Source organism: Homo sapiens, chromosome 3, assembly GCF_000001405.40.
Source record: "Homo sapiens chromosome 3, GRCh38.p14 Primary Assembly".
Classification (NCBI taxonomy): domain Eukaryota; kingdom Metazoa; phylum Chordata; class Mammalia; order Primates; family Hominidae; genus Homo; species Homo sapiens.
The window spans coordinates 170,071,429-170,086,463 of NC_000003.12; the positions used below are offsets into that span (position 1 = coordinate 170,071,429).

Consider the following 15,035-nt stretch of genomic DNA (forward strand, 5'->3'; position numbering starts at 1 on the left):
CCTCACCAGAAGCCGAGCAGATGCCAGCGCCATGCTTCCTGTGTAGCCTGCAGAACTCTTGAGCCCAATAAACCTCTTTATAGGCCAGGCACAGTGGCTGACGCCTGTAATCCCAGCACTTTGGGAGGCTGAGGTGGGTGGATCACTTGAGGTCAGGAATTCAAGACCAGCTAGCCAACATGGCAAAACCCCGTCTCTACTAAAAATACAAAAAAAAATTAGCCGGGCATGGTGGTACATGCCTGTAGTCCCAGCTACTCGGGAGGCTGAGGTAGGAGAATCGCACAAACTCAGAAGGCAGAGATGGCAGTGAGCTGAGATCACGCCACTGCACTCCAGCCTGGGCAACAGAGCAAGACTCTGTATCACCAACAGAAATACCTCTTTATAAATTAATTACCCAGCCTCAGGTATTTCTGTATAGCAACAGAAGAATGGCCTAACATAACATGTTTTTGAGGCTTTTTTTTTGAGGCTTTTCCCTGTGTGGAGCATATATTAATTTTTGTTGCTGAGAAGTATTCCATTGCCTAGATTTACTACAATTTGTTTATCCATTTTCCTGTGGATGGATATTTGGGATATTTCCACTCTGGGGCCATTGGTGAATAAAGCTCCTACATATATTTGTATACAAGCTTTTTTTTTTTTTTTTTTTTTTTGTGAGGCAGATTCTCGCTTTGTCACCCAGGCTGGAGTGCAGTGGCATGATTGTGGCTCATTGCAACCTCCACTTCCCGGGTTCAAGCGATTCTCCTTCCTCAGCCTCCCAAGTAGCTGGGACTACAGGTGTCTGCCACCATGCCCAGCTAACTTTTGTATTTTTAGTAGATATGGGGTTTCACCAGTTTGGCCAGGCTTGTCTTGAACTCCTGACCTCAAGTGATCCACCTGCCTCAGCCTTCCAATGTGCTGGGATTCCAGGCATGAACCACCGTGCCCGGCCTCTACTGACAACTGAATTTCAGACTTCTGGCCTCCTGAATGTGAGAGATTAAATTTCCGTTGTTTCTTTAAGTTGTGTTAGTCTGTTTTGTGTCATTATAAAGCATACCTGAGACTGGGTAATTTATAAAGAAAAGAGGTTTATTTGGCTCATGGTTCTACAGACTGTACAGGAAGCAGGGCACCAGCATCTGCTTCTGTTGAGGCCTCAGGAAGCTTCCAGTCATGGTGGAAGGCAGAGGGGGAGCAGGTGTGTCACATGGTGAGACAGGGAGCAATGGGAAGAGAAGGGAAGTCCCAGACTCTTTTTAACCAGCCAGCTCTCTTGTAAACAAATAAGAGTGAGGACTTACTCATTACTGTGGGGAGGGCACCAAGTCATTCATGAGGGATCCACCCCCATGACCCAAACACCTCCCACTAGGCTCCACCTTCAGCATTGGAGATCACATTTCAACATGAGATTCAAAGGGGACAAACATCCAAATAATATCATGAGCCATTCAGTTTAAATTTACCACCAGTCAACTGGGCATGGTAGCTCATGCTTGTAATTCCAGCAATTTAGGAGGCCAAGGCAGGAGGAATGCTTGAAGCCAGGAGTTTGAGACCAACCTGGACAACGAAACGAGACCCCATCTCTACAAATAAAAAATTTTAAAAACTTAGCCAAGCATGGTGGCATGAGCCTGTGGTCCCAGCTACTTGGGAGGCTAAGGCAGGAGCATTACTTAAGCCTGGGAGTTCAAGTTTACAGTGAGCTTTGATTGCACCACAGCACTCCAGCCTGGGCAACAGAGCAAGATTCTCTTACCAAAAAAAAAAAGAAAAAATTATTGCCTATTATAATTTGTTGTGACAGCCCTAGGAAGCTAATATATCTACCCAGGATTGCAAACGATTTCTTCTGTTTTCTTCTAGAAATTTTAGTTTTATTTCTACATTTAGTCATATGATCCTTTTTTAGTTTATTTTTGTGTATGGTGTAAGGTAAGAGTGAAAGTTCATTTTCCCCCATATGGATATCCACTTTCAGCACCATGAGATTGATCTTGGTTTTTCATAGAGACTTCTTATCTAGTTAGGGACGTGACCTTCTATTGTTTGTTTTTATCATATTAGATTTTATTAAATGCTGCATCTGCGTCTCTTCAGGTGATCTTATAGTCTTTCTCCTTTATTCTGTTAATGTGGTGAATTACATTGATTGACTTTCTAATGTTAAAATAAGTTTCCATTGGCCATGATGTATTGATGGATTCAGTTTGCTAATAATTTGTTAACAATTTCTGCTTCCATGTTCATGAGGGATGATGATCTATATTAGTTTTCTTGAAATGTCTTTGGTATCAAGGTAATTCTAGTCCTTGTGAAATGAGTTGGGAGGTACTCTTTAAGTTTGGTATTTTTTCCCTAAATGCTTGATAGAATCCATCAATGAAGACATCTGAGCCTATATTTTCTTTGTGGGTAGGTTTTAAATACAGAATCAGTTTCTTTAATAGGGATTTTTTTTTTTTTTTTTTTTTTTTTGAGATGGAGTCTTACTGTGTCACCCAGGCTGGAGTGCAGTGGCACAATCTCGGCTCACTGCAAGCTCCGCCTCCTGGGTTCAAGTGATTCTCCTGCCTCAGTCTCTGGAGCAGCAGGGACTACAGGCCAAGCCACCATGCCCGGCTAATTTTTGAATTTTTAGTAGAGACGGGGGTTTCACCATATTGGCCAGGATGGGCTTGAACTCCTGACCTTAGGTGATCCGCTGGCCTCAGCCTCCCAAAGTGCTGGGATTACAGGCATGAGCCACCACACTGGGCCAGTTTCTTTAATAGAGCTATTTAGGGATCTTTTGGACGGAGTTTCGGTAGTGTCTTTCCAGAAATTTGTTTCATCATACAAATTTATCGAAATAAAGTTGTTCAAAATAGTTCCTTATTCTTTTAATGTTTCTAGGTACTCACTTTCCCAATTTTGGTAATTTCTTTCTTAATTTGGCTAGAGGTTTATTAATTTTATTGGTTCTTTTTTTCCCCTAAAGAAGCAGTTTTGTATCGATTTTCTTTCTGTTGTTTTGGGGTTGTTGTTGTTGTTTTTGTTTTGATTGATTTCCTTTGCTTATTTATTTATTTGAGACAGGGTCTTCTTCTGTCTCCCAGGCTGGAGTGTAGTGGCACAATCTTGGCTCACCACAACCTCCACCTCCTGGGCTCAAGCGATCCTCCCACCTCAGCCTCCCAAGTAGCTAGGACCACAGGTGCCCACCACCACACCCAGCTAAGTTTTATACTTTTTGATAGAGATGAGGTTTTGCCGTGTTGCCCAGGCTGGTCTCAAACTCCTGGGATCAAGTGATCCTCCTGCCTCGGCCTCTCAAAGTGCTGGGATTACAGGCATGAGCCACCATGCCTGGCCTTATTTTTGTTTGTTTTAATTTCATTGATTTCTGCTTTTTTTTTAATCTTCCCTTTAACCTACTTTGGGTTTAATTTGCTTTTTTCCTTAAAGTTTAAATTTAGGTTATTGAATTGAGCCCTTCTTTTTGAAAACAGGCAAATATAAGAATATCAGAAGAGGGCCGGGTGCAGTGGCTCACACCTGTAATCCCAGCACTTTGGGAGGCCAAGGTGGGCAGATCACTTTAAGTCAGGAATTCGAGACTAGCCTGGCCAACATGGTGGAAACCCCATCTCTACTAAGAATAACAAAAATTAGCCAGGCATGGTGGTGTGTGCCTGTAATCCCTGCTACTTAGCAGGCTGAGGCAGGAGAATCACTTGAGCCCAAGAGGCGGAGGTTACAGTGAGGCGAGTTTGTGCCATTGCACTCCAGCCTGGGCAACAAGAGCGAAACTCCAACTCAAGCAAAACAAAACAAAACCAAAAGAATATCAGAAGGAAAAATGCAAAAGTATATGACTTTTACAAATATATGACAAATTAAAATTGAATTTTGAGTTTTACCAATATTCTTACATTTGTATCATGGCTTTTTAAAGGTCTTTTTTCTGATAATATAAATAATACATCCTGTTAAAAAAATTTCAAAGGATATAGAGAATAATGAGGAATGGCATTAGTCAGGAAAGGCCAAATCCCATTGACTTAATGCAACAAAGGTTTATTTCTTGCTCATACTATACACCCATTGTGAATCGCCAGGGGCTTTGCTTCACATGGTCACTCAAGGACCCAGGTTGACAGAGGCTCCACCATCTTGTAATGTACCATCTGGAATGCATTGCCTCCCCGCCTCCCCAGCCCATGATGGGGAAGACAACAATGAAGGGCAACTCATCTGCAATAAAATGTTTTGGCCTGGTAGACCATTAACTGTAGGGATCAAAGAACAAAAATCCTCCATGGGCAGAAGCAGAGATGAAGCAGGCATGTGGGTGAGCACTATAATTCTACACTGAAGGAGAAAAATAAAAATCATCTATCCCCTACCTTGAGATAACCTCTGCTTGCTGTCTTCTGCCTGGCCTCACTGGCCTTCCTTATCGCCAGCCTTATGTTTGGGTTGGTGGGAATTACTCCTGCTTCTGGCAGATCACTGATAATTCTTGGTTATGTTCTACCTTTGCGCCTCTTTTGTCAGATTTTATCAGTGTATAAATAAAACAGGAAAGGACAAATCAAGAATCTCTCACTAGTTGTCTTAATAAGGAAATTTCATATTTCTTTTTAAAACTTTGCTTTAGAATATCTCTGGAAATATATACAAATAACTGGTTATAGTGGTTGTATCTAGGGAGGGAAACTGGCTAGACAGCGCTGGGCAGAGTGGGGGTGTTGGAGGGAGGATTGGGTGGCACAGGTAACTTTCACTGTAATACACATCTGTCACCCAAGTTTTGTATCATGTAAATTATATCACCTATTTTTAAAAATAAGTAAAATAAAAACATTTCCATATTTTCTATATTGAATATAACTGTACTGTGCAAATGGATGAATGCAAAACATTATCAGAGTTGAGTGACTTTTTTTTTCCACTGAATTTGGACACATCAAGCGAAGACCACATTTCAAATACAAACTCTTCAAAGTTTATATTTACCTTTTGGAGGGATAAAATTTCATTATCCAAATGGATAGTCAAGTCACAATCCTATGGATATCAGTAATCAGTACAGTCACTGTTACTTGAATGTCGCTTTTTTATTTTTTTAATTATTATTTTTTTTTTGAGATAACTGTGTCTCACTCTGTTGCTCAGGCTGGAGTGTAGTGGTGCAATCTCGGCTCACTGCAACCTCCCCGTCCTAGGTCCAAGCGATTCTCCTGCTGCAGCCTCCTGAGTAGCTGGGATTACAGGCGCCCGCCACCACGCCTGGCTAATTTTTGTATTTTTAGTAGAGATGGGGTTTCAGCATGTTGACCAGGCTGGTCTTGAACTCCTGGCCTCAGGCAATCCGCCTGCACCAGCCTCCCAAAGTGCTGCGATTACAGGCATGAGCCACCACATGTTGGTTTTTTAGAAAGCTCTTTCACATACATACATTGGGTCCTTTTCTACATTTCCAGTGAGTTAAGCCATAATTGTGGTTTACTGAAGAACGTGAGCTTTGAAGTCAGACTTGAGGTTGAACTTTAGCTCCAACACTTACGAGTCATGGGACCTAGGGAAATGTACTTATTAACCACAAGCCTGTTTTCCTCATGGGGAAAAATTATATATACCTTTTATGACTGTTGTTAAGAATTAGAAAAACAGTATGTAAAACCCCTGATAAGGCTATTTCTCCCACAGGCTTGCTCCACTTATCGGGCTCACCAAATACAGCTGCAGTATGAATTCCATCTTCTACACAACAGTAAACCAGAATGTTCATGTTCACAGCGTTCATCTCCCATCCTGTTGTCTAACGCACATGGTTTTTTTAAACTTTTCTAAGATTGCATGAGATTCTGCAACACAACTGATTATAAAAACACTTGAAGTTTTTACCTTTTTTTTTACTTTCCAACTCTCGTGAATGTACAGAGGACTTTCCAGAAGCTACATGATGTGTGATATTTCAGCTGATGAAATGTAGATGTATAGGTAATCGGTCAGAGTGGTGGGAGAAACTGTTGGGAAAGGAGCAGGCCTTCTGAAAGGTCGGAAGGCTTCAGGGGAGAATAAGCTGAACGCAGCTGTTCTCTGACCTTGAGGCAGAGGGCAAGGAGTAGGTACAAGGACGTGTAGGAGAATTTATCTTAAATAGGCTTGTTCACTTGTGTTGTCCAGAAACGACTTTTGATCATCAGCGCGCATGACTGCTCCCTGAAAGGAAGAACAATAATGTTAATTACCCGCAGACTGTGTTTGCTCCAGGCTTTCGGCATTATGTCTGTACTGAATAAAAGCAAGCAGCTCCAGCTGTTCGAGGCTGCTCTCTTCTTCAGCCATTAGTGCCGGGCAGCCCACTAGCTGCTGTTACACTGCATATCTGTGTCTGAGTACTCCTTTCTTCAGTTGCTTGGCCAGGGTCTGTGGGACAGACCCAGCAGCTGGTGCCCTGTGTGAGGAACGCTGCAATGGATCGCGACGGAACCCTCGAAAACGAAGGTGAAGAGACTGCGCAGTAAGCCAGTAATTGGAATTGGAGCCCTCTTGGGATTTCCAAGTTCGAGGGAATTTTCAAGCTAGGGTTTCACATTGGGACAACACTTACTCAACAGAAACAGCATATAAAAGTATTGAAACAACTGCTTAAAGCTGGTGGAGCCTCAGTTTGAGGCCCAATTAAGGGACCTAATGCAAACTCTTGTTTTCCATAACCCATAGTTCCCAGAAGAAGGCACGTTAGACCTAGAGCTCTGGGAGCAAGTGGGAAGAAATCTTAAACGACATCATGCACAAGGGCAATGGGGTCCCAGTAACATCTTTAACATTATGGGCCTTAGTTAGGGCTGCTTGGGAGGAAGAACCATCATCTACCTTACTGCCTCCGCCTCCTCCCCCAGCCCCACCGTTACCGGGTAAAGGTGCCACAGAGGAGACAGAGGTTTTCCCTGAGCCCCCTCCCCCAATAAACTGGAAAAAGGACAAGGGATACACTACAGTTATGGGACCCTGTCTTAAGCAAGCGGCATTAGAAGGGGAGCTCTTGGTCTGCCTGGTAATGCAAGATCAACAAGGCAATCGGGTACATGAACCCATTACTTTCAACACTTACAAAGAGATAAGAAAAAGCATTAGAGAAAATGGAGCCGCTAGCCCGTTTATGAAAGGATTAATTGAGGCCATGGCAGACAACTTCCATATGACCCCATGGGACTGGTCAGTGCTAACTAAAACAACTTTAGAGGCAAGTCAATACCTCCTCTAGAGGGCAGAATTTGATGAATTATGTGCAGCAGACCGCTTTACGCAAAGCCAGAACACGAGCTGTAACTACTGCGCCTGTCAAACCTGGCACTGCACACATCTGTACTCTTCAATCAACAAAACCTGATGCAAAAAAAAGGGGGAGATGTAGATCAGTCAGAGTGGTGGGAGAAACTGTAGGGAAAGGAGCAGGCCTTCTGGAAGGCCGGAAGGCTCTACATAGCTTCCGGGGGAGAATAAGCTGAAGGCAGCTGTTTTCTGACCTTGAAGAGGGCAAGGAGTAGGTACAAGGACGTGTAGGGGAATTTATCTTAAATAGGCTTGTTCACTTGTGTTGTCCAGAAACCGACCTTTGATCATCCGCATGCATTACTGCTCCCTGAAAGGGGGGACAGTAATGTTAATTACCCACAGACTGTGTTTGCTCCAGGCTTTCGGCATTATGTCTGTACTGAATAAAAGCAAGCAGCTCCAGCTGTTCAAGGCTGCTCTCTTCTTCGGCCACTAGTGCTGGGCAGCCCCCTAGCTGCTGTTACACTGCTTATCTGTGTCTGAGTACTCCTTTCATCCGTTGCTCGACTAGGGTCTGTGGGACAGACCCGGCATAGATGAAAATTCAGCTGTCTGCTATTAAGCCAGACACTAAAGCAAGTTGTGAAATGTGAAACAATGCCACTCTGCTCACTAAATTATTGTTTGGTAAAATATAGTAATTTTTACCATATTATTTAAATAACATTTTAAAAATGTTATTGATGTTAACATGCATCAAGGGTCAAAGGGTCCTGAAACCAAACACTTTGGAGGACAGCTGCTTTATCCTGTGGCTGAAAACTATAAAGCAAGATTCCTTTAAGTAAATGTGGTGTATGCATCAATCTCTCCATCTTTGGTGTGCTTTCAATCCAAGTATCCCCTTTCTTCCTTTTGCAAGAAAGAAACTAAGAATGTAAGCAGTTACTTCCTGGCTTCAGTCCCACAAAAAGCTACAATTTTTCTAAGCAGTGATCTGGAACCAGTTTAACTGGACTCTTGCTATTAAGATAGCTCTTAATGATGTTTCATTTTGTTTTCTATCTTTCACACAGAGCTTACTCACATAGCATATTGGTATATCAAAATGAAATGCAAGGAACCAAAAATAACATAATTGAAGGCAGTAAAAGTGAAATTAAATAGGAAGATCATCAGTCAAGGAAGACCCACTGGAGAGTAAGTATGCAAGTTGTTAATAATTAATTGGGTTACAAAGGGAAAAACAGAGACTGGGTCAGTGAAACGAAATCATGGTTTGTTTCCCTGAGGCCCTGCTAATACCTCCAAACTGGGCCAGATCGTAAAGCAAGATACCTTGAAAAGGACTTTCATGTTAACTTTTCAGGTTGCATATGAGTTCATTCACAAGTAGTTTAAAGAATCATGCAGGAAAAGGACCAGATCTTGTAAATCTCTTGAGTCCCTGTATTTTGTGAACATTTTTCTAGAGAAAATTCAGGTAGCTTATCAAAGGATTTCTGTCTTGTTCAGGGAGTTGTTTTAAAAAACAAAATATTGGAATTTTGAACACTTATAGTGGTTTACAGGGTAATTGGGGTAGAGTACATAAAATTGGTGTCGTCTAAGAAAGCTCTGATTGGTTTCCATGATCGTGGTATTCAGGAACTATCGTAAATTGGCCAAAATCTTGTTTTCCAGTTTCTTCCTTTCGCTTTTTATTGCCTCAAGTTGCCTGTCTTCCCCGCTCTTATTTTTCTTCTAGCTTTATGATTCTCTTACATGTTCCATGTCGGACTTGTCTTCTTTATTCCAGTCATCTTCTGAAGAGGTTCTTGGTTCCTGCCTTGGTGGCTGTAGCTGATTCTCTTTCTCCTCTGTGGACCTTCCTCATCCCCTAGGAGACACAAGCGTCCTCCTCCAGGTCCTCCTCCTCCCTACTTTTGTCATCTTCCAGGTGCCTCCACCTGTCAAGAGTCAATGATGAAACGGGAACTTGGAAAACATCCCTTGGATGTTGCCTACCTGGCTTTTCTTTTTGCGACAGAGTGTCAATCTGGCACCCAGGCTGGAATGCAGTGGCATGACTTGGCTCACCACAGCCTTGACCTCCTGGGCTTAGGTGATCCTCCCACCTCTGCCTCCCAAGTAGCTGGAACTATAGGCCCCCACCACCACACCCGAGTAATTTTTGTATTTTTTGTAGAGACTAGGTTTCACCATGTTGCCCAGGCTGGTCTTGAACTTCTGAGCTCAAGTGATCTACCCACCTTGGCCTCCCAATGTGCTAGGATTACAGGCATGAGCCACGGCCCCCAGCCTGACTTGGCTTTCCTTACTTAATTTAGAACAGGAGTTATAAAAGTTAAAATCATGTGAGACAGATGATTCTATTCTTTTATCCTAAAGTTACATTTTTGAAAAATGGGTCTTTATGAATCCACAAAATTTCCTCACCCTCATTTTAAACCAACATTGGTTGTTTAAAACTAAGCCTTTTTTGTTTTCATTTTTGGCACAAGGGGGACTTCATATGGTCTTACTCATCTTGGCTTCTTTATCCAAGCAACACCACTTGTAAGACCAATGGCATTTGTCAAGTTGGCAGCTACATTTCTGTGCCCTTGTATATCAAATCTGGAATGCAACTTTTTTGGATAAGATCAAATTAAACTGTACTATGTTTAAATACAGGGGAAAAAAACTTGAGTGTGGGAAGTACTTGTTTGATTGGGTCTTTTATAGTTATGAAAATAGATTTTGTATTATTGCCTTTACACATATATACGTTTGTATAAGTAGATTATTTGTATACCTTAATAAGTTATCTTATGACAGATTTATGGCCATGAGAGTAATGGTTCAATCTGTCATCAAAACTGATAGCCCTCTCTCACAGTGATTTATTTTTATTTTAGGTTCAGGGGTACATGTGCAGGTTTGTTATAAACTCATATCAGGGTGGTTTTCTGCACAGATTATTTTGTCACCCAGGTACTAAGTCTAGTACCTAATAGTTATTGTTTCTGCTTCTCTCCCTCCTCCCACCCTCCTCCCTCAAGTAGACCCCAGTGTCCACTGTCCCCTTCTTTGTGTCCATGTGTTCTCATCATTTAGCTCCCACTTATAAGTGAAAACATGCGGTATTTGGTTTTCTGTTCCTGCGTTAGTTTGCTAAGGATGATGGACTCCAACTCCATCCATGTTCCTGTGAAAGACATGATCTCTTGTTTTACGCTGCATAGTATTCCATGGTATATATGTACCACATTTTCTTTATCCAATCTGTCACTGACAGGTATTTGGGTTGATTCCATGTTTTTACTATTGTCACACTGATTTATCTTCAGACAAAATTATTTAATCATCAGTGACCTATTTTTAGGCAAATTTAATTTTTTCAGTTTTCAGACTCAAAACTCCATTTTTTTCCTTAAAGTTTGGGAAAAAGAAAGTATACTACTACTGTATTGGTAACTTGATATGTACCTTTTTAGCCTTTTCCTATGCATGTATTTCTTACATGACATGTTGCTGCATAATTTTGTAACCTGCATTTCACTTAACATACTGTGAAAATTTATCATGACATTATTTTTTTAACATGTACCAAATTCACAAGGCTTAAAATTTAACAAATGAAGGTAGAGTGAAAAGTATGAAAACTAAGTCTTCCTCCTATCCTGAGAAACATTTTTAATGGCTGCATATCATAAAGATGACCATATCCAGGGTGAGCATCCCTAATCCAAAATCTGGAATCTGAAATGCTCTAAAATCCAAAACTTTCTGAGCACTGACCTGATGCTCAAATGAAAGTGTGGGTTTTTGGATTAGGGATGCATTCAAGATCCAAAACACTTCTGGTTCCAAGCATTTCTGATAAGGGATACTCAACCTGTGTTTCGTTTCTTTCTTGTTTTTTTCTTTTTTCGAGACAGGGTCTTGCTCTGTCACCCAGGCTGGAGTGCAGTGGCACAATCATGGCTCACTGCAGCCTTGACCTCCCAGGCTCAAGCGATCCTCTCACCTCAGCCTCTTGAGTGGCTGGAACCACAGGTGTGCATCACCATGCCCAGGTAATTTTTTTTTTTTTTTGGTAGAGGCAGCTCCCTATGTTGCTCAGGCTGGTCTCCAACTCCTGGGCTCAAGCCATCCTCCTGCCTTGGCCTCTCAAAATGCTGGGATTTCAGGCAAGAGCCACCACACCCAGCCAACCTGTGTTGTTTTGAACCAATCTCCAGTTGTTCACATTTGTGATTGACTGGGTTTGTTGTTCTTGTCATTTTTGGGGTTTTTTTTTTTTTTGGTTTTTGTTTTTGTTTTTTTGCTATTTATAAATACTGCGATTGAGTAGTATTGTAGAAATAAGTTAAGTTTGGGTCAACTGATTTTTTTTAAGGATGTGTTTCTTGAATCTCCTACCTTTCCTTTCAGTCCTTTCCTGATTCTTCTTCTGACTTCTTTCATCATCTTTTTCCTGCTTCCAAAATGTATGTATCACTGAAGCCTCAACTCCTATTCCTTTGCCTTTACCTACCGCTTCCTAATGTTCTCATGTATCCATACTGAGTCCCTGTTCCTTCCCTGTATTCTCGTCTCTCCACATGCCATACCTGAAAGATCATATCCAGAAGATAAACACTTTTCTTTCTTTCCTTTACCTATGTTCTCATTATTTTTAGCTGAAACCACCTGTTTTCAGAGCTTCAGGAAAAGACTTAATCTGAAGGATCCTGCAGCTAAAAAGCTTTGAAAACTGTGTTAAGGGGCCCCATAAGCATCGCTTCTAAACTTCACTGACAAAAGGGACTGGGGTCATGCTGTCTGGAGTCAGAGTGAGGTGGGGTTAAAAGCTCTATGTGGTTGTTTTGCATATTACTATCAAGCTTCTATTTTAGGCATGAGTTTTGGCCCTGGTAGATAAAACCATTTCTCTATCTAAAAGTTATTAAAACCTGTACTTATATATAGAAGTTAGTAATTTATATATAACATTTTGGTTTAAAAATCTCTGAGTTCTGGACCATCTGGGTCTCAAAAAAATGACCAGAGTATACACATTAATTTTGTTCTGTATTCTATTAAGTATTATGTGACATATAATTCTTATTCATATATTTATTTGGGGAAATGATTGAATTAGGCTTTTAAGAATAGTGGTGCTTGCTTTGTAAAGTTTCAAAATAGGTAACATTAAGGTTTTCTTTTCACTTTTTTTGCAGGGACAGAAAATGAAGCAGTGTTTTATCATGTGTATTTCAGCAGGTCTTCTTGAAATTTAACTAAAAATATGACTGCTCTCTCTTCAGAGAACTGCTCTTTTCAGTACCAGTTACGTCAAACAAACCAGCCCCTAGATGTTAACTATCTGCTATTCTTGATCATACTTGGGAAAATATTATTAAATATCCTTACACTAGGAATGAGAAGAAAAAACACCTGTCAAAATTTTATGGAATATTTTTGCATTTCACTAGCATTCGTTGATCTTTTACTTTTGGTAAACATTTCCATTATATTGTATTTCAGGGATTTTGTACTTTTAAGCATTAGGTTCACTAAATACCACATCTGCCTATTTACTCAAATTATTTCCTTTACTTATGGCTTTTTGCATTATCCAGTTTTCCTGACAGCTTGTATAGATTATTGCCTGAATTTCTCTAAAACAACCAAGCTTTCATTTAAGTGTCAAAAATTATTTTATTTCTTTACAGTAATTTTAATTTGGATTTCAGTCCTTGCTTATGTTTTGGGAGACCCAGCCATCTACCAAAGCCTGAAGGCACAGAATGCTTATTCTCGTCACTGTCCTTTCTATGTCAGCATTCAGAGTTACTGGCTGTCATTTTTCATGGTGATGATTTTATTTGTAGCTTTCATAACCTGTTGGGAAGAAGTTACTACTTTGGTACAGGCTATCAGGATAACTTCCTATATGAATGAAACTATCTTATATTTTCCTTTTTCATCCCACTCCAGTTATACTGTGAGATCTAAAAAAATATTCTTATCCAAGCTCATTGTCTGTTTTCTCAGTACCTGGTTACCATTTGTACTACTTCAGGTAATCATTGTTTTACTTAAAGTTCAGATTCCAGCATATATTGAGATGAATATTCCCTGGTTATACTTTGTCAATAGTTTTCTCATTGCTACAGTGTATTGGTTTAATTGTCACAAGCTTAATTTAAAAGACATTGGATTACCTTTGGATCCATTTGTCAACTGGAAGTGCTGCTTCATTCCACTTACAATTCCTAATCTTGAGCAAATTGAAAAGCCTATATCAATAATGATTTGTTAATATTATTAATTAAAAGTTACAGCTGTCATAAGATCATAATTTTATGAACAGAAAGAACTCAGGACATATTAAAAAATAAACTGAACTAAAACAACTTTTGCCCCCTGACTGATAGCATTTCAGAATGTGTCTTTTGAAGGGCTATGATACCAGTTATTAAATAGTGTTTTATTTTAAAAACAAAATAATTCCAAGAAGTTTTTATAGTTATTCAGGGACACTATATTACAAATATTACTTTGTTATTAACACAAAAAGTGATAAGAGTTAACATTTGGCTATACTGATGTTTGTGTTACTCAAAAAAACTACTGGATGCAAACTGTTATGTAAATCTGAGATTTCACTGACAACTTTAAGATATCAACCTAAACATTTTTATTAAATGTTCAAATGAAAGCAAGAAAGTAAAAATTGTTCTTAAAATGATTTGGCATAAAGTTCAATGTAAGAGGAAGAAGAAGATTACCTCATTTTAAATGTAGCTAATTAATTTTAAAAAGTATATCTCTGTTTTTAATGCAAATATTCCTGGAAGAAGAGGGTTTTGGTTGCTCACCTTATGGAACTGGGAGCAGTGACTAGGTCCCTTTCGATGATTCAGCAGATTCGTTTTCATATTATAAAACTTGTATGTCATCACATACTTGCATATCACATCATAATCACGTTAGCAATGATGTATCACACGTAAAAGTAGAATTTCTCATCCTCGGCACGCTTGACATTTGGGGTTGGTTAATTTTTTGTTGTGGGGCAGTTTAGCAGGATCCCTGCTCTCTGCCCACTGACTGATTGGTGGCACCTCCATGCCCAGTAGACACAATAAAAAATGTCTCCAGACATTGCCAAATCTCCCCCGGTGGATAGGCAGAGTTGCTTCACTGGAGTAAAACAATATGAGTGGCAGGATCATCATCTTACATTACTTTAGGAATTAAGCTACATAGATATTTTTTATCACCATTTAAAAATACTATATTGCATAAATCTAAACCTAGCTTTTCCTAAATTGGTGGCTTTTGATTTTTTTTGATATTTATAGTAAGATATATTTTTTAACATCATGACCTATAGACTTGTATGTACGTTTATGTGTACATACAAGTAACATACTTACCCTTACATAACATGTATAACATGTACATGTACATACAAGTATAACAATACTTACCCTTACATATCATGCAAATATGTTTTTTAGTGTCATTTTTTAAATGCTGGTTTTTATCCACTAAATTGAGTTGATGATCCACAAATGGATTACTTTCTGTTATTTGAAAAAATGTCCTAAAACAAGCGCTATGGAACACTAATAATGGCAAAAAGATTTAAGAAATGTGTCCTGTGTGCCAGGTACCGTCTTAAGTGTTTGTTTTACATGCAGCAACTGATTTAATCCTTATAGCAACTCTGACAGGAACTATTATCCCCTTCTTACAGATGAGGAAATTTAAACATTGAAAGTAAGAAA

At 39.8% G+C, this 15,035-nt stretch overlaps 1 protein-coding gene and 1 long non-coding RNA gene across 8 annotated transcripts in view; one reads left to right on the forward strand and one right to left on the reverse strand.

Moving 5' to 3' along the window:
• The window catches only part of GPR160 (G protein-coupled receptor 160), a 47,398-nt gene extending 33,434 nt beyond the window's left edge, over positions 1-13,964 (forward strand). For 3 of the 7 annotated variants that reach the window (NM_014373.3, XM_047447959.1, XM_005247347.5), the window contains 2 exons: positions 8,346-8,469; positions 12,477-13,964. In NM_014373.3, coding sequence (NP_055188.1) covers positions 12,545-13,561 — 1,017 coding nt within the window. In that variant the 5' untranslated portion in view covers positions 8,346-8,469; positions 12,477-12,544 and the 3' untranslated portion in view covers positions 13,562-13,964. Of the gene's footprint in view, positions 1-5,694; positions 6,512-8,345; positions 8,470-12,476 lie in introns of all 7 variants that reach the window. The other 4 variants (XM_024453450.2, XM_024453449.2, XM_005247346.5 and 1 more) reach the window with 3 other exon arrangements.
• On the reverse strand, positions 4,039-9,342 carry LOC124909456 (uncharacterized). The gene is made up of 2 exons (XR_007096157.1): positions 9,034-9,342; positions 4,039-6,210 (listed from the first exon to the last, which is right to left on the reverse strand). It is a non-coding gene; the product is annotated as an uncharacterized LOC124909456 (long non-coding RNA).
• Positions 13,965-15,035: the final 1,071 nt, after the last annotated feature.